The 20790-nt window shown below is 42.9% G+C and overlaps 1 protein-coding gene and 1 long non-coding RNA gene across 57 annotated transcripts in view, besides 1 other annotated feature; one reads left to right on the top strand and one right to left on the bottom strand.

Moving 5' to 3' along the window:
- The window catches only part of KIAA1217, an 853117-nt gene that overhangs the window by 73583 nt on the left and 758744 nt on the right, over positions 1–20790 (bottom strand). For 41 of the 54 annotated variants that reach the window (NM_001098500.3, NM_019590.5, XM_047425513.1 and 38 more), the window contains one exon: positions 201–1033. In NM_001098500.3, coding sequence (NP_001091970.1) covers positions 201–1033 — 833 coding nt within the window. Of the gene's footprint in view, positions 1–200; positions 1034–7470; positions 7731–20790 lie in introns of those variants that run through there. The other 13 variants (XM_017016423.1, XM_047425525.1, XM_047425512.1 and 10 more) reach the window with 1 other exon arrangement.
- Positions 7875–20066, top strand: LOC105376455 (uncharacterized). Of its 3 annotated transcripts, none has more exons than XR_930755.4 (3): positions 7875–8508; positions 16225–16297; positions 17078–20066. It is a non-coding gene; the product is annotated as an uncharacterized LOC105376455 (long non-coding RNA). The 3 variants fall into 3 exon arrangements; XR_007062087.1 differs by having other exon boundaries at positions 7875–12037; XR_007062088.1 differs by having other exon boundaries at positions 16225–20066.
- Positions 11292–11793: an enhancer, noted in NCBI's record as "H3K4me1 hESC enhancer chr10:24751397-24751898 (GRCh37/hg19 assembly coordinates)". NCBI's record gives its function as "activates a minimal SCP1, AML or CMV promoter by ChIP-STARR-seq in naive H9 embryonic stem cells {active_cell/tissue: H9 hESC(naive)}" and the evidence as "EXISTENCE:reporter gene assay evidence [ECO:0000049][PMID:30033119]".

Below are 20790 nucleotides of genomic sequence, written 5' to 3'. Positions count from 1 at the left end.
GACTGTAACCCCTGCCAATTTAGAAACTATTTGCAGACAATGGTGGCTTTGACACCACTCTGTGACTCCTGCAGCATCCACAGGACATGCTGCAGAGATGGGTGCTCAGACATTTATTCTGTCGGTTTGACCCCTGTAGAGCTGCCCACAGTGACACATGGGCCCAGGTACCACCCTCGGTCACCCTCACTGCACCTTACCTGGTCTCTCTGTCTTTGGGTATTGTCGCCGTGCTGTAGGCAAAAACTTGCTTCTCCATTAGAGGAGGGCCGAGGTCTACAAGGCTGGATAATCCTGCAGCGCTCCGTGGCTTTTCTATATACACCAAGGTGCCTGGCTCCTTTTTAAAGGCCTGGCGGCTCGGAGAGGCCCGGTCTGGCTGCATGGTGTGAGGGGGGCCGTGGGCATTATAGTGAGCGTGCATGTCTATCATCCTCAGGTCACTGACTCTGTGAGGAGAGGCAGGGGGTGTTTTGGAGCCCAGTGTAGGCAAATGGCTATCCGGATATTTCCTTGATTTCTGTCTGTACAGTGATTGTTCCATATGCATTTCCGCTTGCATTGAGGGGTTACAATAAGCACTCGCTGACCGGATGGCGGTGCGGTGATATGCAATGATGTGGTCGGGGACATCCAGTGGGTGTCCACCATGGGATGAGGCTATGCTCATCCGTCCCTCGTGATAAAGGTAAGGATCAGCATAGAAACCCTCATTTCTGTACATTGCAATGTTTTTGCCACTCATGTCTTCATCAGGCTTGACATCTCTTCTTTCTAAAATGGCGCTTGGGCTTGGAGAGATGGGTCTGGAGACTGGCAGGCTGGAGATTCTGTCCCTGGGGATGGTGGCATTGCCAGGAACAACCATGGAGCGGGTGCCCCCATAAGGAATTCTGGACGGGGAGGGGGGCATGGAATGGGGCACTGGAGTAGACGGTGGGGAATTTGGAATCGCATGGGGTGGATGAGCAGTAGATCCGGGGCGAGGGGCCCCAGGGCCATCTCCTCTTGCATAAACAAGTTCTCTCTGCATCTGAAAAGAAAACAAGGGATCAGAAAGTTGACTTTGATATTCGTGTTTCAAGAGAAGTCTCAGTGTGTAACCGTGTGACTTCCCCTGCAAGATGTATACACCCTCATCCTGGAATCTGTGAATATGTTTCCTTACATGGCAAAAGAGACTTTGCAGATGGGGTGAAGTTGAGGATGGTGAGATGGGAGATCTTTATCCTGGTGAACTCAAGGCAATCACAAGGGTCTTTATATGCGGAGGAAGGAGGCAGGGAAATCAGCTCCAGGGGAGATCTATGCTGATGGAAGTAGGGTTAGAAGAGTTTGGAAGGTGCTATGAGAAGGGGCCATGAGCCAAGGAATGTGGGCAGCTGCTAGAAGCTGGAAAAGGTGAGGAAATGGATCCCACTCTGGAGCCTCCAGAGGGAGGATGACCCTGCCGACACATTGATATTGATGTGCAAAATCCATTAAGGACTTCTGATCTCCATAAAAGTAAAATGATACACCTATGGTGTTTAAAAAAATCATGACGTTTTAAGCCACTAAATTTATGGTAATTTGTTACAGCAACCACAAGAAATGAATACACCTGATGGAGAGTGCAATTTTGTGGGATTTCAGGAAAAAATAGTGTGGTGGCTTAAATTTTAATGTCACAGCTTCTTAGAGATGCTGCTTAATAAATGCAGGTCTAGTGTATCAATAGTGCTCACGCTGAGTCTTCTAAAACTTGTCCTGAGCACGTTTTTCTACTGTTAGCCCTGGGAAATAGTAACCATGTTTCCCATCTTTCAAAGTGGATACAATCTAGGGAGATGAGCAGGGGGAAAGGAGATGCATGGGGGAAAACCTGGAAGGGAAGTTTCATTCATTCACCAACTCTTCATTTGAGCCTATGAGAAATCAGCATGGAGAGGCTGGAAGGAAATAATTAAGCAATAAGAGTACAATGGCAGTGGACCCTTGAAGAACACAGCTTTGAACTGTGCAGGTTGACTGATACACAGATATCCTCCCTCCCCTGCCACTCCTGAGAGAGCAAGGCCAAGCCCTTCTCTTCCTCCTTCTCACCTATTCAACATGAAGTTGACGAGGATGAAGACCTTTATGATGATCCACTTCCACTTAATAGAAAGGAAACACATTTTTTTCTTCCTTATGGTTTACTTAAGAACATTTGCTTTTCTCTAGCTTACTTGATTATGTGAATACAGTATATAATATATATAACATTCAAGCTATGCGTTAATCGACCATTCAAGTCATCTGTAAGTGTTCTGGTCAACAGTAGGCTGTGAGTAGTTAAGTTTGCGGGGAGGTAAAAGTTCTACACAGATTTTTTTTTTTTTTTTTTTTTTTTGAGATGGAGTCTTGCTCTGTCTCCCAGGCTGGAGTGCAGTGGCGCAATCTCAGCTCAGTCACTGCAATCTCCACCTCCTGGGTTCAAGTGATTCTCCTACCTCAGCCTCCCAAATAGCTGGGATTACAGGCATGTGCCACCACACCCAGCTAATTTTTGCATTTTTAGTAGAGACGGGGTTTCTCCATGTTGGCCCGGCTAGTCTTGAACTCCTGACCTCAGGTGATCTGCCTGCCTCGGCCTCCCACAGTGCTGGGATTATAGGCATGAGCCACTGCACCTGGCCTCTACACTGATTTTTTTTTTTACTGTGTGTGGGGGACTTAGCATCCCTAACTCCCACCTTGTTCAATGGTCAACTGTAATTTGCAACTATGTTACTGTGTTTAGCAAGGGAGTAGAATAAAAAAAAAAATAACTCAGGATATGATGATTTCATATATTTTTGCTTTGGTCAAGGTGCAGTGGGGAAATGACCACTGAGATTCTCCAAATAACTGAGGGAAGGAGAGACAGGCTCCATCCATTCTTCAAGTTCTATTGGTGAGGTCACAGGAGCCCACAGTCCCTATCCTGACTTCCAGGAGATGTGACAGAGAAGAAGGGTATAAATGGTTGGAGGGTGGATGAGGGAGGGACCCGAGGAAAGAGGTGGGGGCTTGAATGGCAAGAACCAAGATGAGCAGCCAAGAGACCCCATGATGTGGATGATGTGGAAGACAGTAGGGATAGTAGAGGCACCAGGAGAAGGTTGAAAATGAAACAGAGCCTAATGCACAGGATACAAACTAACTGCTTCTTTATCACAAAAATTCACTGCATGTAGTAAAGAGTATTTACCAAGCACTTGGTAAGTGCCTGGGGTTATTCTAGGATACAGTTCTAAAGAAGCCCCCAAGTTCCATGGAAACTCCCAAGCGCCATGGAGAGGGCACCTTCTTTCTTAAACTTCGTAGATAAGAATGCAGGAACAACCAGTGGGACTCCCATGGCTTCCTTATCTTGCTCCTGGAAGGATCCAGCGGTGTAGAATCCCTGCCCTGCAAGTTTTACATAGACAAGTGGATTTCATAATGAAAGTGACCAATGAGAAGTGCAAATAAGGTGCTAATATGTAGCAACAAAAGGGAGCCCTTTTTGAATACATGACCTGGGCACCACGGAATTGGCCTCTTGGCTCCTATAGGGGCTATTTCTGGGCCCCCTGGAGTATGCAGGCTCCTCCCTCACAATTACAATTTTATCTCCACTTCCTCTCTACTCCCCTCCCAAAACACACACAGAGCTCCCATTATGATAGGCTAATCTGTTCTCCCTTCTCTAAACCTAACTTGTGATATCCTGATGCTGTCCTCACTCCAGGGTCTCTCTCCCCATGTGCTAGTTCTTGGGGATCCATATGAAGGTTCGAGGTCAGGCTCCAGGTGCGTCTGCTCTGCATGGCCCCTGCCCTGATGCTCCAGCCCATGAGGACCTCCCTGCTCATTGGACACCCTCATGACTCAGGTGCTCAGTGCTTTAGACCAGAAGGAACAGTCCCAAGGTCATTGCATGATAATACACCTGACTGATGCTCATTCCAGGGAGGCTGGGCAACCGCGTGACACAGGTTTTGCAGGAGAGCGACACGGATCCTCTATAAATACCTCTCTCACTCTGCCTTCACAATTCAGGGCTCAATAAAAAGCAAAGTATGGCTCAGCAGGAAGCAGCACAGGGCTTCACAGGTCATAAAATACAGGAGGGACTGGCTCAGCGAGCAGCGGATATGTGGGCAAATTCTCCACATAATCAGATTACACAATGCAATAACCAACCAAAACAAACATCGAGATAAATTCATCACATCGACTCAAATATGCCACTGTTTATAAAGCATTACACAGTGTCCAAGGCAAATCACATACAACAAATGGTAGGTACTGTTGTCATTATTGTTATTAATTCCAGAAAAATATTTAAAATATGTAGAACTGCCTGGGCACAGTGGCTCAGGCCTGTAATCCCAGCACTTTGGGAGGCCGAGGCAGGCGGATCACTTGAGGTCAGGAGTTCGAGACCAGCCTGGCCAACGTGGCAAAACCCCCTCTCTACTAATAATACAAAAATTAGCTGGGCATGGTGGCATGCACCTGTAGTCCTAGCTACTCGGGAGGCTGAGGCAGGAGAATTGCTTGAACCCGGGAGGTGGAGGTTGCAGTGAGCCGAGATAATACCACTGCACTCCAGCCTGGGTGACAAAGTGAGACTCTGTCTCAATCAATCAATCAATCAATATAATATCTAGAACCCTCTTGGTATGAACAACAGTCCTAACTAGGTCAGTCACTATTCCCTGTTCTCTTTTCCTTCCTTAGCCACCTTCAGAGTACATCTTTATCTGGGGGACTACGATCCCAATTAACCAGCAGAAGCTTTCCTCTTTTTGGCAGGAGTGTAAAAAGGGACATTAAGATTCTAGGGTCTCGGTGCAGTGGTTCACGCCTATAATCCCAACATTTTGGGAGGCTGAGGTGGGCGGATCACTTGAGGCCAGGAGTTTGAGACCAGCTTGGGCAACATGGCAAAACCCTGTCTCTATAAAAAAATACAAAAATTAGCCAGGCGCAGTGCATGCGCCTGTAATCCAGCTACTCAGGAGGCTGAGGCACACGAATTGCTTGAGCCTGGGAGGCGGAGGTTGCAGTGAGCCAAGAATACACCACAGTACTCCAACCTGGGCGACACAGCAAGACTCTCTGTCTCCAATAAAATAAAGTAAAATAAAATAAAATAAAATATTCTAGAGAGTATAGAACTGTCCAGAAGGATAAATAATATTAGTAAAAAGAAAATGTAAAATTTATTTAAATTCATAAAAAGTTGAGTACATTTCTTTGAAAACAGCAAAGGTATTTACATAGGTATTTTAAAAACATGCTTGGTGACATGCAAAAAATGGTTAGGAGATATATAAATAACCTTTAAAATGAAACATTTAAAGATCTAACTAGAATATCTCAATAGATTTACTAGTGGTATGTATAGATGAGATTAGAAAGAAATATAACAATTAACTAAAAGTAATTCTGATACATTGTATTGGGCATTCATGTGGGAAACACCAGTGATAGTCGAAATATTTTACAGCTAATATCCAGTATGGCATGGACACCAACCAACCAGAATGGGACCTCAGCCAATGAGGACGGCTGCTTGCCATGAACAGTCAGCAGCCCGGATCTGGAGCTAATCCTGTGTGTCTTCCCTGCCCTGTCCACTTCAAAATAATCTTGCCATCATCCAAAAGGGTCACCGAAAGAGTCACCATCAATCTGAGTTATCCACAGTGGCGCTGAATACAAACATTCGGTTGTGACAGAATTGGTAATCTGAGGTTGAATGTCTCTATCAACACAGGTGACTTAGATGTTGGAAGTCTTGGCAGAATTCTTATGTTGGTTTGCCAAGCTGTGACTGACTTTCTAAGACGGAGTTTTAAAAAGAACCAGGATCATGTATTTCATCCTTGGCTCTAAACAGAGCCCAAGAAGAAAAATGACACAATGATCCCAATATAGAGTGGGAAACATTTGTTTTAAAACCACAACTAGAATGAACCCTTACGATCAGACAACTTGGGAATCCTACCATAAAAGACAGGGACCAACCTAAGGCAACTCGCTCTTAGGATGTGGGGGAAGGTAAGGGGACATCACTGGAGGGATGTTTTCAAGTCTTCAATGTGATTTCCAAGGTCACACTTGCAATAAAAAGTAGAATTTAGAGACTCCAGAATCTGATAGATGGAAGCAGCATGATGGTTAAGATTGTATAATTCACAGTTTAAAACAAACCCAGCCTTTGCTGCGGGTATTCTTACTAAGGAGAGATCTTCCTAGAATCTGTCACCAACACAGATTTATTTTGTTTTGGTTTTTAACTGTTATTTGGCTAATGAGTAAAGACATGGCATTAAATACATACTGGGTTTTTCCTGCGCTGGTACTCAAAGTCAGACCTTGTGGGAGAAAATTATACTAAACTTACAAAGAAAATAAATAAGCAACACACACACACACACACACACACATACACACACACATACACATACACACATACGAGTTGCCATTCACATTAATATATCCCAGTCCCTTATTCTGCCACTGATCTCTCTGATGCTACTAATCTTATCATCTCTTTTCCCTTAGTGAGTTTAAGTAACTAGCTATGTTGTACCATTGACACTTTTTCCCCACAGAATTTCAACACTAATGTCATAATGTAAGCTTTAAACAATTTCATTTTACAGCAAGAAAGAGATGACCGACACAGAAAAATAAAGATTCTTCTAACCCCTTATCTGAATACAACACAGATAACTATTTGCCTGCACCTAAGCCCAGACACAGAAAATGTTCATTCAACTGCACTAGATATAATGGCAATGTATGAACAAGACTGTTCTACCTCATTCATCTGCTTGGCTAGGCACTGTCTTTTCTTCTTTCCATTACTGCCCAAACCTCTATTGTCTCTTCATTATTTGAGTTCTTCCAGTTCTTAGAAAGAGGGTAGTTTCTTCAAGAGCCTCATCATAATAGCAGGCTGACAGGCAGGTGTCCCTGCCCACAGACTGCACACGGATCAAAATGCTGTTTACACCATACTTCTGAAACACCAGAAAATATCTGGGGCCATTTCAAATTAAGATCTGAAGTCTGAGTTAGAAATTCTTACATGTAGCTATATATTATTTCCCAAAAGAACCATAAGTCAAATCGAATATCACTCATTCAGAAGTTTCTTGAACGTAAGATAAGAAACAACATATTAAAATTGTTTCCAGAAAAAAAAAACCTAGTATAAAAAATATTTGTTTAAAATCATCTTGGGAAACTGCCTCATGTAATCATGTCTGTGGAGCATTTATATATATATATATTGCTTGTGGAAAAGGAATATTATGTACAGTTTGTTGTATTTCAAACCCCACCCTTCCAAGTCTAGAATTTGTAAACATACCACTCAATCAGACCACACAATGAAGTAAGCAGAGAAAACTGAAATGGAATCTTAAGACACTCTTTCACCCTCAAAGAATTAAAGCCACTTACTTTTTCTTAAGGAAATCACCTGTGTAACTAACGCCGTGAGTAAGCACATTCGCTCAGGTCCTGATTACATGATTCCTTTGTTTGCTGGCTTCATCTAAATCCTTGGTTGCACACTTGAATATTTTAGACAGCTTCCTCTTCAGAAACAAAATCATCACAAAAGACACAAAGATCCTAAAATGTTTCTCAGCTCGAGTGTTCACAACCAATAAAGACCATTTCGTATTACCCAGTTTTCGGAGAGAAGCTGACACTGGCATGGATAAAAAGTAACCTTCCCCGTGATAAGTCAATTTCTCCTCCCCTTGGAAATTAGTCACTGAATAACCTCAGCCCACATCCAACCACAGGCTACCTCACGGGTGACTCAGTCCTTCAACAACTGCTTACAGGGAAAACACCAATGAAGGAACTTTAAACGGCCTAGGTAAATGGGTTAACAGCAAAGGAAATATTACAAAATATATTTCGCTGAAGGCAAACAGGATCATTAGAAAGGGCAAACAACCAGCCACCGAGAAATGAAACTGTCAAAAAACCCAACATACTCAATCCAGAGGAGCCAACTTTCAGATCAGTTTTCTGTTGACTTAAAGGTGCTACTGCAAAAACCTAGACCAGCACCCAATACCCACTTTGCTGCCAGACTTTTGAAGTCTGGGAATTGGCAGCTGAAGGAAACGTAAGCCTCTTCTCCTGGTTTAACACCAGAGGGAAAACATGAGGGAGATAAGGAGGCTGTCTATTAATTAACCAGCCCTGTTTTACCACGCTGAACTTTGGGTAGCAGCCATTAATCAGTCCTACATAGCGCCGGGCAAGGAACTGCAATCACCCTGGAAAATACATCTGAAACGAGAAGGAAAGATAGAGAGGGCAAACCAGGGCTGTGCAGAGGGGATTCTGGAAAGGAAACCAGAGCCCTTCTGCCCCACCCTAAACAAGATGAAGGACGAGAAGGTAGGCGATCCCCAGAGACCTCTGGCTACAACCGCTGTCAGCACAGCTGGTATCTTCCAGGGGAACAGGTACAAGAAGGTGCGTGTCCACAACACGAAGTGACTTGTGCAGCTCTCAGCGGAGGACTGGCATTAATGCATTGCTAGCAAAAGGTGGGGGAGAAAGGAAGCATCTCCTGCGCTCCCAGGCAGGCTCTGATTACCATCATGTTTTCTGAGCCCTTGGGGACTGGGTGGAACCGAAAGCTATCCAAGTGGGAATACGGTGACAAGGAACTCCACTCACTGGGCTGGAAGCCCCACTGGCTTCACGCCACACCCAACTACCACGCTCTGGGCAGCCTGTGCATTTTTAAAACATTTTAAGGCTTTTAGAGGTTGTTCTTGCTGACCAAAAGAATTCCATGACGTCTTTCAAGTTCAAATCCAGTCCTTTGCAGGCTTTCTAAAAAAACTGTTTACTGCCATCAAATCACTTTGTGGTTATTAAAGAAGGGGGCAAATGGAGCACGTGACATTGCCACCCTCCTAAGATGTCTCACTAGGAAAAATATTTGGATGAAGTGGTTGTAACAGATGCCACCTAAGAGGTCGGAAAACAGTAGAAGGAATGTGGAAGCTCTTGACTTTTAATCTAATCAGCAAGGGTTTGTTATTTCTCACCAGAGTATGGGAGGCACACACTATCAGCTTCTGATGAATCTGGTATACATTAGGCAGGTTTTGTTTTGTGTCTTCAGTCAAGCACGTACTTTCCAGGAAGGGGGATGGAGGAGTGGTCCCCCTTGTCTGATTAGGCCACGATGCCGCCCCTATCACATCCTCCAAAGACCCTGTCTTATGGCGTGAGGTGTGCTAACAGACATGGCTCTTATAATTCTTCTTTACCTGCTTATTATGGGCAGGGTTGCTTGTCCCAGTGACTGTATGTGAAGGGTCTGGGGCCAGGCTGTCCCCCAGGAAACAAACAGTGAACTCTCTGTCTCTCTGCTGCTTGGCTAAGCAAGTCATGCCATGTTCGACATGTTATCCCATATCTGCTATGGGCTAGGTGCTATGTGGCTCACGCCTGTAATCCTAGCACTTTGGGATGTGGAAGCAGGAGGATCCCCTGAGCCCAGGAGTTTGAGACCAGCTTGGGCAACATAGGGAGGCCCAGCCTATACAAAAAGTAAAAACTTAGCTGGGCATGCTGGTGCATGCCTGTGTTCCCAGCTACTTGGGAGGCTGAGGTGGGAGGATCACTTGAGCCTGAGAGGTTGAGAGGCTACAGTGAGCCAAGATCACACCATTGCGCTCCAGCCTGGGTGACAGAGTGAGACCCTGGCTCCAAAAAAAAGCAACAAAGGGTAAAACCACAAGAAACCATGTCCATTACGCTAGAGAGAGGTGGCTTCTGTTGACCCTGTTACAATGAGAGTCGGTCGGTTCAATGCGAGAAGAAGTCTAGTTTACCTCTCCCTTCTCTTCCTTCCTGCCAGGTTCACAGCAATTTCCTTTCACTTTCAAAATGCTCCAGGGCACTGTCTGTAGCATGCATGCATGGATTCGTCATTACAAGAGCAGTAATTCACTGTCAGGAGTTTGAAAGCCAGCCCAATCCTGCGGTGAATCAGGATGAGTTAAATGCTCTTTAGCAAGCGCCAAGCTCACCCAAGAGAGGTGGAGTTCAATCTCCAAAGGCCCCAGAGTACCTGCTAATGAACCAGACAAGCCAATTTCCTAAACAATATCCTGGTGCCATCTAGGACCCAGTGGCTTTATCTCAGTGGAAGGCACATTCTCCAGAGAAGGGCTCTTTCAGGCTAACTCACCATAAAGTTTGGTTCAGTATGAGTGTGTGCAACCACTAACACCCCCACGCTTTGGTTTGATTACATCACCAGATCCTTCTCTGCCTTCTCTACCTTGGGACATTACAGCCATTACTACGTTCCTCTTCCCAGCAGTGTATAAAGTGTCCCACTCTTCATTTTCCCTCTTCCTTTCATTGACTAGGCCTAAAAGCAAAGTGGAAGCAATGTATTCTTTCTGAGTCAGTGTTAAGAATGGACGTGCTAGGAAATATTCAGGATTACCTCAACAGGAAGTAATTTTTATGCTCTGGCAAGGCCAATAGTATTGTGACACATATTCATTCCTATTTTCCCTTTCATATTCATTTCTTCATTGGCTTTAAAAAAATTACATTTGCTCAAAGAAAATCTGAACTGTGCCTATAGATATGAAGATGATATTAGGAAGGGAAGGGATTATTACGTTGAAAAAATTTCAAATTCATCTTGTTTGCATTGGTAAAATTGGGAAGATTGCCATTTGTAAGGTTTTAGTTAGCCTATTGTTTCATTTGATTGTAAACGGAATGTCTCCCAGACATGAGACAGACAGACAGACAGACTGCTGCCAAAATTATTTAATTCCCAGGAAAGAGATGGTCCAGTCAGCGGTTAGCTTATGGCTATATTTAAGATGAGCGTTATTTCTATAAATCTTTTGACAGAGGAACTCTACTGAGCCCTCCAGTGGCCAGACCTGGCTGACCAGTCCTGGGTCCAACAGTGATTAAAGATCTCAATCTGGAGCAGAATAGAGAAGTAATGTTAAATAAATCATTTCGCTTCCAAGCCACAATCAATAATTGTGCAGTGCTGTAGGATGGATAAAAGAAAAATGTCCTTCTCACTGACACTCAATCTTCTGCTGGGCTACTCCCATGTTCCCCAGGCCAAGGACAACCTCCTTTTGTACCAAAAATAGTTACAGTTTGTAAAATGATATCTTTTTTATGCCACTTGCAACAGATGGTACAAATAATTCCTTCTCTTATCTCCATCTCTGCACATCCACCCATTTCCTGGACGAACCTTGTTCTTTTATGCACAGCTCCCTTTTAATGTTTTCTAGATTGGATGCTAGTAAGTTATCTGCGGCACCCAACTACAACTTTTTAGCGCCTTAGACTTTATTTTTCTCTTTATGACAGTTCTTGAAACTACTATGTAACTTGTCAACCACATGTTGCCATATAGGATATACTGCTTTATTTGCTTGTGACACTTCATATTCTAACAAGAGATTTTAAATCCCCGTGCTCACCATACCCCACCCACAAACACTCCAATAATCACATAGCAGTTTGCAGTTTACAAAGGGCTCTCAATTGTGACATTTCATGGGCTCCAGAACTCAGTGAAAGACATAGAACAGGTGTCTTATGTCTTTTTGAATAGTTGGGAAACAGAAGTGCAGGGAGTTAAGAACCTCACCCAGCTTCCCATAGCTGCTAAGCAGTGAGGCAGCAAGAACCCCAGCTTCCTCGGTTGTTTGCGTGTGACCTGCTGTGCACTTCAGGACACTGCAAGCTATTCTGCAAAGAACGATGTTCCTCATGCCTGCCCACGCGTGATCACTGATGGATTCCTTATTCGATTTCTGGCCATGGTGTGAAACATGAACAAGTCTGTTGAGAAGTACCTCACTCCATTCACAGGTCCAGATTTTCACAGCAAAGGAAAAGAATCACTGGGGCATCTCACTGGGCTTCGGCTCGAATGATTTAGAGCCTCTCTTGACTTACAATTAGGTTTTATCTACTTGCCTCAAAATGAGTAAGTTATATAATTAGTTATATATTAGTTATATTTAATAGATATATCAGTATATATGCTTATATATATTATACTTATATATACCTATCGATATTATACATCACTCAGTACTATATGGATATCACCATATCACAAGTTATACATATGTATACATATACATATATGTACACACAGAAGCATGCACAAAGTCATCATCAGTCACAGGCACCGGATTACTTATGAAATAAAATATCTGAGCCTTAGCTGATTAAAATCCCTTACCATTACAACCCTAATTCCATTATGGGGTGACATTCTCAGGACCATGCCCCTCAGAGATGCATGCACCACCCACAGAGGCACAGGGTCTCCATCGCTGCACTCTATGCTCTTCTTTCTTTTCACTGGAGAAACTGACCAAATTGATTATATCGTGAACAAAAATAGCTAGGTAGAGCATTATATAACTTTAGGATGATTACAACAACGTGAGAATTAAAATGTATATATGTATTTTAGTTTGATGATATAACATACCTAAATTTACACAATGAGGTGATGTTGATCTGTGTAGAATTTTATGCTATACAGCCGGGTGCAGTAGCTCACACCTGTAATCCCAGCACTGTGGGAGGCCAAGGTGGGCGGATCACCTGAGGCCAGGAGTTTGAGACCAGCCTGGACAACATGGTGAAACCCCATCTCTACTAAAAGTACAAAAAACTAGCCAGTCATGGTAGCACACACCTGTAATCCCAGCTACTTGGGAGGCTGAGGCAGGAGAATTGCTGGAACCTGGGAGATGGAGGCTGCAGTGAGCCAAGATTATGCAGCTGTACTCCAGCCTGGGCAACAGAGCAAGACTCTGTCTCCCCACCACCAAAACAAAACAAAACAAAACAAAAACAAAAACAAAAAAAGAATGTTATGCTCTACAATTGCAGTTTAAAGGACAGATATGAAAACAGCTAGATGGAGTGTTATATAACTTTAGGATGATTACAGCATGAAAATTAAAATGTATATATATTTTAGTTTGATGATATGATATACCTAAACTGAAACAATGAATTGATGTTGATCTATGTAGAATTTCACACTATACAATTGCAGTGTAAAGGATAGATGGTTTTCAGAGCCCGTGAGAGAAAATGGTGGTAAACACATTGGGGAATGGCAGATGTCAACTTGGAAACCATATGGCCATTTATTCGTGGTCTGTCAATGTCTTCTCACAATGGAGCTACTCAAATCCCAGGATGTCTGTTTCTGTAATAACTCCTTTCTCACAGCCTCATGTGGTCTCAGCTTCTTACTACCAATTGCTCCCTAGTAGGTTTAACCCCTTCAGGCCTGTCTCATGTCTACCTTCACTGTTCCTCCTTCTTTGATTATAGCTTTTCTGAAACCAACTCTGTGGACCTGGGTTACCGTCTTAGCCCGTCTACAGGAAACACATTCCATTGCCTGCATTCTGCTGTGTTCATATTGATCTCAGTAGGATATGTGTAGGTTCTATTACCAAGCAAAAGAAAAAACATACAGCATAAAGTGAGCTGTGTCTGTGGAGCAAATTTTAAAGGGTATGTTATGGATGACTTCTGATGAAAGGTGTTTTAGTTGTGCCATTATTTTGATCCTCAGCCAAACAACATCAGCCCATGTGTCAAGAGAAGAAAGGATTGTCTGAGGGAATAGTCCCAGAGGGTAACACCGAAAGACAGTAATTCACAGATCTGCCAGGTTCAATTTTTCCTCAAAATAAACATGAAAAAAACAATGATGGGGACCTAGATTAAAAAAGCCCTCATGCCCATTCTTCCTGGGTTCAGAAGAGCCGCCTGCTCCACTGTGAATGATCTTCACTGTGAACTTTTATTCAAAAATAAAAGAAGTTCCATGGGTATCCTAAGTATACGGAGTGTGTGAGCTGGGGAAATTCTCACGTGTAAGGCTAGGAATTGATGCCATTTGTTATACAATTTTATAGGCTTATGAATGAAAATTTTGTACTTTCCCAGTTTTCATTAGTTATGAAAAAATGTAAGAGGTTCCAGGTTTATAAATTAAATGAGTATAGCTTTGAAAACCCATCTGCTTTCCTTGGGTTTAGTTGAAGTCTGTGGCAGAGAACATGAGAACACCTGCTAGTTTTGGGGCCAGGCCAGTGGCTCTGAAAGCCCCCAGGTATGTTTCTCCGCAGTCGGCACAGCAGGGTGATGGGGGAAGAACACCAAATGGGGAGTCCCGGAACTAGCATTTTGGTCCAGGTGTTAACATTGTTTTCTTTCTTTTCACTTTTTTTAGTTTTAAAGAGACAGGGTCTCATTCTGTTGCTCAGGTTGTAGTGCAGTGGTGTGATCATAGCTCACTGAAGCCTTGAATTCCTTGGTTCAAGTGATCCTCCCACCTCAGCCTCCTGAATAGGTAGGATTATAGGTGCACACTACCATCCCCAGCTAATTAAAAAACATTTTTTTTTTTTGTAGAGCTAAGAGCTCACTACATTGCCCAGGCTGGCCTCAAACTCCTTGCCTCAAGAAATCTTCCTGCCTAGGCCTCCCAGAGTGCTAGGATTACAAGCGTCAACCATCACGCCTGGTCAACATCCCTTTCTTTATCTGTAAATAAGAAATCTCATGTAGACTTTCTCTAAGGCCCATTCCAATGATGAGATTCTGTGGGTCCATATATTTACAGAGTAGCTACCTATATACAAAGCCCAGGGTTAAGGCTGATGAGGGAAAAGGGATCTGTAAGACATGATTTCTACCTCTGAAGAACTTACATTCTAGTAGGAAAAATAAGGCATGTACGTGAACATTAAAATATGAGAAAGCAAGAATAACTTTGCTAAGTGTCAAATGAGTGCAACAGACAAATACTCTGGTAGTTCATAGAATAATGAGGTTCTTATGGTGGGGATGACTGAGGAACACTTTTCTGAAGAGGTGAGAGTGGGTTCATGAATGATGAATAGAATTTCAGCAGGTAAGAAAGAGGTCCCTTTCTTAGGTATTCCAGGCAGGAACTAAGGCATGGTCAAGGACAAGGGATAGGAAAGTCCAGGTGCCCTGGGGGAATGGCTAGACTACCGACCCAACCAGTGAGTTACTCTCGGACAGTGGTTCTCCAACTCTCAGATGGTGGGCTTCAGAATCACCTGGAGAGTTTAGTAAATCAGATTACTGGGTCTAACATCCACTGTGTCTGATTCAGTAGGTCTCGGGTGGTGCCGAGGAATCTGTATTTCTAACAAGTCCCCAGGTGATACTGACCTGCTGGTTCAGGGAATACTCTTTGAGAACCACTGCTTTAGTGAGTAGAGGGACATAGTAATGCAGGGTCACTGAACGTTCACATCACAATCTCCATTCTACTGTGAGCTTGGTTAAATCCTTTGGACAGCAATCATAATTATCTAGAATTTCTCTATTATAAATATTGTCAATTAAATCTGCCAAGAGAAGATGGAAATAGGGAAGAAAATGAATATTTTGGGTGACTTCCTATTTACCAATGCTTTCCAAAATTACCTCATTTAATTCTCATCTCATTCCCATTAGATACATTATAATTCCCATTTCACAGATGAACAAACTGGGGCTCAGAGACTTCAAATATCTTACCTGAAGTCAGATAACAGGGCCAGGATCTATGAAGTGCTAGAATAATCTTGCATTCTAGTGTTAAGAAATCAGTGTGGAGGTCTGACCTTTGAATCCTCTTCAAAGGAGGGCAGTGGTTCAAGAACCTCTGAAAATGAGTACTATTTCTGTCCCAGATCAGGTCCATCTGTATTGAGTGTTGCCAGAGTCACAAGAGAAGGGTCAAATAGACCAAGCCATGTTCATGTTATCTACAAATGTGGGGAGCAAAAAAAATCTTCTTCCAAGTAATGACTCTAGGGTACTCACGAGCCCCACAAGACTGCTCCATTTCAAAGGAATACCTTCGTGTTTTCAGTTCAAATAGCAAGTCAGTCAGCCAGCCAGGGAGCATGGCTTGGAAATCTGAGATGGTCAGCAAAACTACTGCTTCTCCTTATTTGGATAAATAACAGCCTCAAAGACAACCAGTTTGGGAGCTGTACATGCCCTGAGGCCGGGCTTGGCAGGCATCTCTGCCCACGCCCTGCCATGCCTTTTGCTGCACCAACAGCTGAAGGAGTTTAGCCAAATATTGACCAATCCCTTCTTCCCCACCAGGCTCTGACACCGACAGAAGCCTCCTCTTCAGAGACACAATCTGCTTCCCTGTGTCCCAACAACAAACTGCCAGGTGGGCCTTTGAGTATCCCTATGTTTAAGTCAAGCCCTGTACTCCTGACACTGAGTAGCTCATGAGAAAGAACAGAAGCAAGTCAATAAGTCATGCTCCATATGACGAAATGCCTACCGAGAGTAAGGAGCTACACACTGTCTAGTTGCTCTTCTTACCCGTTGCCTCCAGGAAGGAAAGACTTCCTTCCCACACAGGATGTAAGGCAAGTGAAGAAAATGCTTTGTAATCTATGGAGCACTTTTCAAAGTTCATGATTAGGGCTGAGCACAGTGGCTCTCACACCTATAAACCTAGCACTTTGGGAGGCCAAGGCGGGAGGATGGCTAGAAGCCAGGAGTTTGAGACCAGCCTGGGCAACATAGCAAGGCCCTGTCTCTGCAAAATTAAAATTTAAAAAATTAGCCAGGCATGGTGGTGCATGCCTGTACCCTGGCTACTTGAAGGCCGAGGTGAAGGATGGCTTGAGCCCAGGAGTTCAAGGCTGCAGTGAGCTATGATTATACCACTGCACTCCAGCTATGATTATACCACTGCACTCCAGCCTGGGTGACAGAATACGATCCTGTTCCCCCCAAACCCCGCCACCCACACACACATACACACACACACACACACAAAACAAAAAACAAACAAAAAGTTCTTGATTAGCACCAAGAGCTTTCAAGTCACTTCAAAAAGAATCAAGCTGCAGGCTGAACCAAAGGTAGCTTATCTTCCCTCAATGCCCAACCCAACCTCCCCAACTCTTTTTATCTTTGCATTATCTTTACTTTTCAGAAAAGCAACGTTAGAGCAACACTTCTCCCAGAGAGGACAGAAGATAAGTGACAATAAATAAAGGGGATTTCTTAAAATTAAGGCAGCAAGACACTGGTGCCATTTCGATGACGTTTCCTCCAACACACTGAAGTACACAAATTAGTTTCCAATTTTTTTTTTTAATTAAAAAGGGTTTAATTGGCCGGGCACAGTGGCTCACACCTGTAATCCCAGCACTTCGGGAGGCCCAGGCAGGTGGATCATTTGAGGTTAGGAATTCGAGAGCAGCCTGGCCAACGTGGTGAAACCTGACTCTACTAAAAACACAAAAATTAGCCGGGTTTGGTGGCAGGTGCCTGTAATCCCAGCTACTCGGGAGGCTGAGGCAGGAGAATCACTTGAACCTGGGAGGCGGAGGTTGCAGTGAGCTGAGATCACACCATTGCACTCCAGCCTGGGGGACAGAGCGAGACTCTGTCTCAAAAAAAAAAAAAAAGGTTTAATCCTCCTCATCAATCAGTACTCCTCCACACCATCATCTCAAGGAAGGCAGTGGGGTGTGGTGGATCGAGCACTGGATTATGACTCAAAGGGCTTGGTTTTTCCCTGCTGGGAATCTCTTCTTGGCTGTGGTCTCATAACTGTGACTGTAGTCCTGACACTGAACTCTGAGCCCCTGATTCAGCTGCTTACTTGCTTCAGTAAAACCTTCTTGCACTTTCTCTTCTGGTGCTGTGAATACCTAATGAGTTCCATCATTGTTGTGTCACTGAGCACGCATGATTATTAATATCATCAGCAAACATTCACGGGCCCACTCAGTGAGCTGTGAGGCAGAAGAAAATGAATAAAACGGAAAATACTCACTTGAATGTATTCACAGAAGGATGAAACGAATGACACATTCGTTTTGGAGATACAAGAACTGGCAAAAAATGAGGACTCTGGATGCAGCCAATGTAAGAACATCATACTGTATTATATTTCAAAGATATCATATTTGAGAAAATGGTCCAGGCTGGACATGGTGGCTCACGCCTGTAGTCCCAGCACTTTGGGAGGCCGAGGCTGGTGGATCACTTGAGCTCGGGAGTTTGCAACAAGCCTGGGCAACATGGTGAAACCCTACCTCTACAAAAAATAGAAAAATTAGCCTGGTGGGGTGGCATACGCCTTTAGTCCCAGCAACTTGGGGGACTAAGGTGGGAGGATCTCTTGAGCCCGGGAGGCGGAGGTTGCAGTGAACCACTGCACCACTGCACTCCAGCCTGGGCAACAGAGGGAGACTCGTGTCTCAGAAAAAAACAAAAAGTACTTTTCCTCATTCCTATTCCCAAATTAATTGATCATTCTGAACCCAGATCAGGCTATATGTAAAAGACTCCCAATTCATTTCGTAGTGTTACAACAACAAATAGACTCAAATTGCAATTATCTATAATCACTGTGAGATGGGTGATTACCCACATCTTGGCATTGGATCATTCTCTTTTCCTTCCCATCTTACCACCTGGGAGAACATCTCTTTTGTGAATGAAAAGAGCACCCGTGTCATTACTTGTCTGTGGCCAGAATGCAAGCTTTGGCTGCTGAAGAGGAAGCCGAACTAATTAGCTCAAGATATGTGTTTAGAGGCTCTCAGAATTTCAACTACATTATCCATTCTAGTCCTGTCCTACATTTATATCAAAAACAGGGAACTGGGTGCTTTAGCATGGTTCTTGATAGAAAAACATTTATCTTGTAATAATGCGCAAAATTAATTTTTGGCAGAGCAAAGATTGGGAATTTAATGCAAATGTAGAGATGTTTTGTTATTGCACATATCTGCCAAGACAGCTTTGCACATATACTCACTGTATCTATATTTAAAATATAAAATTATATTTGGGTAGTTTTTATATTAAGATACTCTATGTATATGAGTACATATCTGTCGATAAAAATTCTGTGCCAAAATTAAAAATATCAAAATTCCACATCTGACTCATTTTTTGTGCTCTAGTCTCAAAGTGATACTGAATAGAAACTTATTAGCATTTCAGTAAATTTCTTCAGATCATTGTTACGAATAATAAAAATACAGAAACATTTTAAAACAACATATTTCAGTCTTAAAATGGTCAGATTAACATAATTATAGCCCGAGGTTGCCAACAGTGCCACATTTCTCATTTTCATGAAAATGCAGAGGTTCTCTCAGATTGCAAGCTAATAGGCTCCTTGGTCTAAATATATACAGTAAAATCTGCAACAAATTTCTGAAGCATTAAGATCTGAACCCTGCAGATATCTGGTGAGCGAGTTGTGTTGCAGTGGAGCAGATTTTTTTTTTTTTCCTTGCAGTTACACAGCTGCTAGAAAACATATTTTTAGATTTGCTTTTAAAGGCAAGCAAAAACGGTTTCCACTTTGTGGATTTCCATCCATGATGTATCCGTCATGATCCCTCAGTCCCTACTGCAAGGGGTCAACCATCTACAACATGTTCTATTCCGTGCCCTCCTTCCTTGTAAGTGACTGCAAGGACTGGCACTAGATGCTCATTCTAGACGAAGCTATCAGACCCTGACCACCAGTCCTATGCTTTAGAGGTGCTGCATTTCATGAAAATCATGCATGGAAGTTTAAGCACCCTACAGATCAGGCCCCTGCTATTTCTGAATTGCCCCATCATTGGCATTGGTATGATTCCTTATTGTTGTTTGTGTTTTTCTTTGGTAACTCTTCCTACTCTATCAAGGGTGCGTGAAAAGGAACAGTTTCAAAGAGTGAAATCAGAACAAGGCAAAGCACGACCTTTGATGTCACAAGAAAAGAAGAAAAGGAAAGAAATCAAATACATGTGTCGATCAACTGAGTCAAACATATTTTCTGTTTCAGGAATATGGAGTGAGTTAGTGCTGCCTGCACAATGGAAAGAGGTCCTCTAGCTTAAATGAAAAGCTAGGTAGTCACACCTTTTATCTGGAGAGACCTTAAATAAATAAATCTGCTCAAAAAACTATTTAATGAGTAGTTTGTCTTTTCTGCCAAATAGTACGATGCTGATCGTCTTGAGAACTCTTAGAGAGGAATTAGAATTCATTTGGACATCAAAATGGTTTTTTTTCGTTTTTCTTTTTTTTTGCCAATTGTATGCTTTTAAATCAAGTTTTACCCTGTTCCTTCCTTGAACCCTCAATTTGGGCTTCATCTTAAAGCCTTGGTTTTTATACTTCATACATTAACAAGATACTATCACCACTTTGGCTATATCTTTGTATCAGCTGTCCTAGTACTCATTTAATAATTTTCTTTAAGTCAGTTTTAAATTGACTTTTTCTCTCCTTAGTCGTGACTAAGAATTATAGTTGTGACTTAAGGAGTTAATGAAAAGTAACTCTCAAGTTCTTTGTGCTACCAGTCTTTCCAACATTCATTCAAAACAACATCATATAATTATTACCATTTACAAACTGCTTTTCTAGTTGCCACCTAAAATCACTGGTTCCAAGCAATGAACAACTCTGAAAGTAATGTGAGGAGTCATACATTAACATTTCAAACAGCATAACTGCAGGAGCTATTTGCCACAGCAAAGAGGCTGTTTTTTAAAATAATGCCATAACACTGTACAATCTTGCTGAGCCAATATTGCTCTATTCAAAGTATCTCATAATTTGAAACAGCTGCTATTTTTCAGTTGACATGATGGCCTATTCTCCTTCCATAAAAAATACTGGATAATC

This window comes from Homo sapiens, chromosome 10 (genome assembly GCF_000001405.40).
Source record: "Homo sapiens chromosome 10, GRCh38.p14 Primary Assembly".
Taxonomy (NCBI): domain Eukaryota; kingdom Metazoa; phylum Chordata; class Mammalia; order Primates; family Hominidae; genus Homo; species Homo sapiens.
Note: the sequence above shows the minus strand (reverse complement) of the source record. Positions and strands in the feature narration are given on the sequence as shown.